Source organism: Homo sapiens, chromosome 17 (assembly GCF_000001405.40).
Source record: "Homo sapiens chromosome 17, GRCh38.p14 Primary Assembly".
NCBI lineage: Eukaryota > Metazoa > Chordata > Mammalia > Primates > Hominidae > Homo > Homo sapiens.
In genome coordinates, this window is record NC_000017.11 from 41,031,253 (window position 1) to 41,037,161 (window position 5,909).

The 5,909-nt window shown below is 38.3% G+C and overlaps 1 protein-coding gene across 1 annotated transcript; it reads right to left on the bottom strand.

Moving 5' to 3' along the window:
* Window positions 1-2,631: 2,631 nt before the first annotated feature.
* KRTAP1-3 (keratin associated protein 1-3) lies at window positions 2,632-3,622 on the bottom strand. Its single transcript, NM_030966.2, has one exon. The coding sequence runs from the start codon at window positions 3,567-3,569 to the stop codon at window positions 3,066-3,068; it is 504 nt and encodes a 167-aa protein (NP_112228.1). The 5' UTR covers window positions 3,570-3,622; the 3' UTR covers window positions 2,632-3,065.
* Window positions 3,623-5,909: the final 2,287 nt, after the last annotated feature.

Genomic DNA, 5,909 nt, shown 5'->3' on the forward strand with positions numbered 1-5,909 from the left:
GAAACTCCATGACTTTTGCCTGGCCAATATTGTGATATTGTGAACATGAATCCAAAAGCATCAGCAAAAATAGACAAGTGGGATTACATCAAACTAAAAAGCTTCTGCACAGCCAATAAAACACTAAACTGAGTGAAGACGCAAACCGCTGAATGGGAGAAAATATTTATAAACCACATATCTGATAAAGGGTTAATATCCAAAGTATAGAGGAAACTCAAACAACTCAATACCTGTAGTAAGAAAACAAATAACGTAATTGAAAAATGGGCAAAAAATCTAAATAGACATTTCTCAAAAAAAATCTACAAATTGCCAACAGGTATATGAAAAATTTTCAAAATCACCAATCATCGGATAATGCAAATTGAAACCACAATGAGATATCGTCTCACACATATTAGATAGTTATTATCAAAAAGACAAAAGATAGCAAGTGTTGGAGAGGAAGTGGAGAAAAGAGAACTCTGGCACACTGTTGGTGGAAATGTAAATTAGTACAGCCATTATGGAAAACAATATGAAGGTTCATCAGAAAATTAAAAATAGAACTGTCATATAATCAAGCAATCCCACTTCTGTGTATATACCCGAAGGAAAGTAAATCAGTATTTTGAAGAGACATCTGCATTCCCATGTTCATTGCAGCATTACTCACAATAGCCAAGATATGGAAGCAACCTAAGTGTCCATGTCCATCATTAAATGAGTGGATAAAGAAAATGTGATACACACACACATACACACACACACACTCACACACTGGAATATTATTGGTCATAAAAGAAGGAAATCCTGCTATTTGGGGCAACAGATTAAACTTGAGAACATTATACTAAGTGAAATAAGTCAGACAAAGAAAAAGACTAATATTGCACTTTCTCACTTACAAGTGGAACTTAATGTAAATGACAAGTTATTGGGTGCAGCACACCAACATGGCACATGTATACATATGCAACAAACCTGCAAGTTGTGCACATGTACCCTAGAACTTAAAGTATAATAAAAACAAAAAAACCTCAAAAAAAAGAAAAAGTTGAATTCATGGAAGTAGAAAGTAGAATGGTGGTTACCGGGGGTAGGGTGGTGGTGGAGTGTGTTGGGAAGATGTTGGTCAAAGGATTACAAAATTTCAGTTAGATAAGAGGAATAAATTCAAGAGATCTATTGTACAACATAGAGACTATAGTTCATAACAATATGTTACAGTCCTGAAAATTGCTAAGAGAGTAGATTTTGTGTTTTCACTACAAAAAAACTTATGTGAGGTAATGCATATGTTAATTAGTTTGATTTAGCCATTGTACGAAGTATACATATTCCAAAAAAATGTGTTGTACACAATAAATACATATAATTTTTGTCAATTCAAATAAATAAATAAATGAACTCATTTAACCATATGTGTATTTGAGGGTTTATTTCTAGGCTCTCTGTTCTTTTCCATTGCTTTATATATCTGTCTTTATATCAGTATCACACTGTTATGATTACTGTAGCTTTACAGTAAATTTTGAAACAGGAAAATGTGAGACCAACTTTGTTCTTTTTTAAGATTGTTTTGGCTATATAGGACCCCTTCTAATTTCATATGTATTTTAGGATGGATTTTTTTAAAATTTCTGCAAAAACATCATTGGGATTTTTATAGGGATTGCGTTAAATCTGTAGATTCTCTGGGTAGTATTGACATCTTAACAATATTAAATCCTATAATCCATGATCTCAGGATGTCTTTTCATTTATTTGTGTCTTCTTTAATTTCTTTCAGTAACATTTTGTAGTTTCTGGTGTACGAGTCTTTCCCCTCCAAGGCTAAGTTTGTTCCTAAGTATTTTATTCTTTATTTTATTATTATTATTATTATTTGAAATGGAGTCTCACTCTGTCACCCAGGCTGGAGTGAAGTGGCACAATCTTGGCTCACTGTAACCTCCACCTCCTGGGTTCAAGCAATTCTCATGCCTCAGCCTCCCCAGTAGCTGGGACCACAGGCATCCACGAACATGCCTGGCTAATTTTTGTATTTTTAGTAGAGACAGGGTTTCACTATATTGGCCAGGCTGGACTTGAGCTCCTAACCTCAGGTGATCTGCCCACCTCAGCTTACCAAAGTGCTGGGATTACAGGCATGAGCCACCATGCCCGGCCATAAGTATTTTATTCTTTTGATGGAATTGTTTTTAAAATTTTCCTTACAGATTTTTCATGGTTAGTATATAGAAATGCAATTTATTTTTTTTAGTAGAGATGGGGTTTCACCATGTTGGCCAAGCTGATCTCAAACTCCCGACCTCGTGATCTGTCTACCTTGGCCTCCCAAAATGCTGGGATTACAGGTGTGAGCCACCGTACCCAGCCAGAGATTTTGATTTCTGTAACTTCCTGGTTGTGAAAGCACTGTGTAAGGTTAAGTTATGGTAACAGAGCCTTTGCCATTTCTGAGGCCCTAAATAACTACACTTACTCTATGTTTTTATGGTCATTAACCTCCACTGGACCTCTGGATAACAAATTTCCTAATGTGGTATTAGAAGAGAAGGGATATCAAAAGCAGATTAAAGTTTTTCATATGACATTCTATGAAATATACATCCTGAGTACACTCAATGAAAAAAAAAAGATATGTTTGTTGCACCAATAGTTAAAATTTATTAGACCTTGGTATATTATTCCTCTTTCATAGGGGGTGCAATTTGCAGGACGGTGGGATACAGGAAGTGAGTGTCCTGAGAAGGACAGATGGCTCTTCCATGGTCTCGTCGGCGCTGAGACTCAGAGCGTGGGCTTCAATGCTTGCAAAGGCTCAGTTTCAAGGTAAATCGGCTTTTTCATTTCTTGGGTCAAATTTGTATTTTGGCGTCCTCAGAGAGAAGAGTAAGGTCTTTCTGGAATTGAAAGGAATCAGATAATTCTGAGGCCAAAATATTTGGTAACCCCCATAAGAAAGACAAAGAAAGGTTGAAGAATTTGTTCGTTGTCCATAAGTGCTTGAAGAAATAATTCGTTCATGAATGGAACTGAAAGTGGAAATTTCAAGTTGAAAATCAGCAAACTGGCTTTTAGCAGGTGGGCTCACAGGAGTAGCAGCAGCAGACTGGGCGGCAGCAGGACTGTCCACAGTAGGATGGGCGGCAGCAGGAGGCCTCGGCGTGGTGCAGCTGGCAGCAGGTTGGGGGTGTGCAGCTCACCACACAGCAGGGGGGCAGGCAGGTACCCTCCACACGGCAGTCTGGGCGGCACCACCTGATACGGGTGCTCACAGCTCCACTGCTGCCCTCCTGGCCATAGCCAATGCCACCACCAATGCCACAGCCAGTTCCGCAGGAGCTGGTCTGGCAGCAGCTTGGCTGGCAGCAGCTGGTCTCACAGCAGCTTGGCTGGCAGCAACTGGAGCTGCAGGTCCCACTAGTTGAGAAGCTAGGAAATCCGCAGAAGCTGGTCTGGCAGCAGCTTGGCTGGCAGCAGCTGGTCTCACAGCAGCTTGGCTGGCAGCAGCTGGAGCCGCATGTCCCACTGGTGGAGCAGCTGGGATATCCACAGAAGCTGGTCTGGCAGCAGGTCATGGTGTTGGGAGCTGGTATGAAGTCTGGGTTGCTTGGAGGAGTTTCTGAGTTTTGGTGATGGCTGCCACATTGGGCCTTTTATAAGCCTGGGCCAGCTACTGTTTACATAATTCCAGAAGTCTCTTGCTTATTTGTGTTGGATAATTTGTCTCTGAATGATAATTGGCCTCTCCCTGAATTATTTGTTGAACCTACTGAGAGCCTTTGAAAGTTGATTGTATTTGGTCTGCAATTAGGCTTCTTTACCATGGTCAAGAAGTCATTGGCATTAATTAGGAATATGATCCCTAACTCCTCATGTTTCTTAAAATTTCCTCATGGTCAAGGAATAATTGACTGATGCCTCACCTTTAAGGATTGTCAATATTACTCAGTGTTGACCCTTACAACTGGGTGATTGGGTCTCACATGACAGTTTAATTCCCTCCAATTTTAACTGTGGCTCCTTCTCTAACTTTCTTATCTTCCCTTTGACTGTGAAGCAAGACTATATTCAGCTGGCCAGAAAGGGATGCTTTCTTGGGCCTGGGAGATTTGCATTAATTGCTATTGATAACATTTTCCCATCACTGATTATGTGCCTAAATAGTTCTGAGTACTTCGCATGTATCAATTTGCTGAATTTTCACGGCAATCTATGGGCTAGGTATCACTGCCACTCCCATCAACCATGTGAGAAAACTGAGCCACAACAGGTTGAAGTAACTTACCCTAGTTCACACTAGTATCTAGTGAATCTGAAATTTGAATCCACAACCTCTGATTCCAGACTAAACTCTTTAAACACTATAGTCAATTCTTTCTCTCTTTCTCTCTGTCTTTCTCCCTTCCTTCCTTCCTTCCCTCCTTTCTTCTTTCTTTCTTTCTTTCTTTCTTTCTTTCTTTCTTTCTTTCTTTCCTTCTTTCTCTTTCTTTCTTTCTTTCCTTTCTTTCTTTCTTTCCTTCCTTCCTTCCTTCCTTCCTTCCTTCCTTCCTTCCTTTCTTTCTTTCTTTCTTTCTTTCTTTCTTTCTTTCTTTCTTTTTCTTCTTTCTCCTTTCTTTCTTTCCTTTCTTCTTTTTTTATGTAAAAAGTCATTCTAAGGAAATTCCAATGGTGAAAGCAAGCCGTAAAAATTTGCTTCCTTTCTTACGGACTTTTTTGAGAGTAAAAGGAAGGAAGGGAGAGCTTAGGGTAAGTAATAACACAGTTTACTACAGCCATTCCTAGAGATTTTATTTATTTATTAACAGCATAATAAGCACAGTTCAAGAAAATCTTAAGTGCTAAAAAAGTTAACCTTCTTGTGACTTTGTCTCATCTTTTATCTTAGGATATTCTATAGATTTAGATTTTTTAACTGCATAAAATTATAGTTTTTAACATATTAATACTGGAGTATGTGATTTACTACAGAGTGTTAGATCGGCTGTATGCAGTTTATTATAGATATTAGAGACTAATCCAGTGAACTGGAAAGTTTATATAATTTGAATGAGACAGCTGATGACGGTGAATATAAAGGTTTTGTTTAGATGCAATAAAAGGTGACCAGGCCTCCATGGAGTATGGGTTCATTACTGAGAAATGCAAGTTACGATGCTACTCTTGGATTTTGAACCAGAACACCAAGTGGTAGTTCTGCTTCTCTAGAAATGACAGCTTTGAGTTTACATCATAACTCTTTCTGAGTCAGAATTAAGACATATTTTCAAATCCCACATCAAATTTGGTTTAAAAGATATGATTCTTTGTGAATTCCTTGCTTCTTCTTAAGCAAAGCTACATCACAGATTCTTTGATTAGCTAATATTTTTTATGTTGGATGCTTGAAATACGTGGGTGTGTCATGACAACAATCTCGGGAGCTATTTAATTCAGATCTAAATTTAGCAGAATCTTTGATACTAAACAGATGTATCTCCTTTTGCAAAAGGCTCAGATATCTGAGGACCTGAAATACATTATTGATAAGAGCACTGGAGACAGTGGCGTTGCATATCAGTTCTCCCTTTCTGGGCTTTTCTACTGTGGCACTATTTTCAACATCTTCCTCAATGCAAAATTTAAGGTATGACACTTACTTGAGAATTTGACTCCTGTGCCACAGAACGAAGACTAATCTGAACATTCCCTTACCTCCTCTAAGTAAATTAAGAAAATGAAATTTATTTTATTTCACTTTACATTATATCCTTCAAGTTTAGGTATGTTGTAATATGTGACCGAATTTCCTGCTTTTTATAGACTCAATAGTATTCCGTTGTGTGTATATACCACATTTCTTATTACTGTGCTGATTCCCTCTGGCATTCATTACTTCATTTAAGTGATGGGCTGTAGACCATTCCAGTACCATAAGA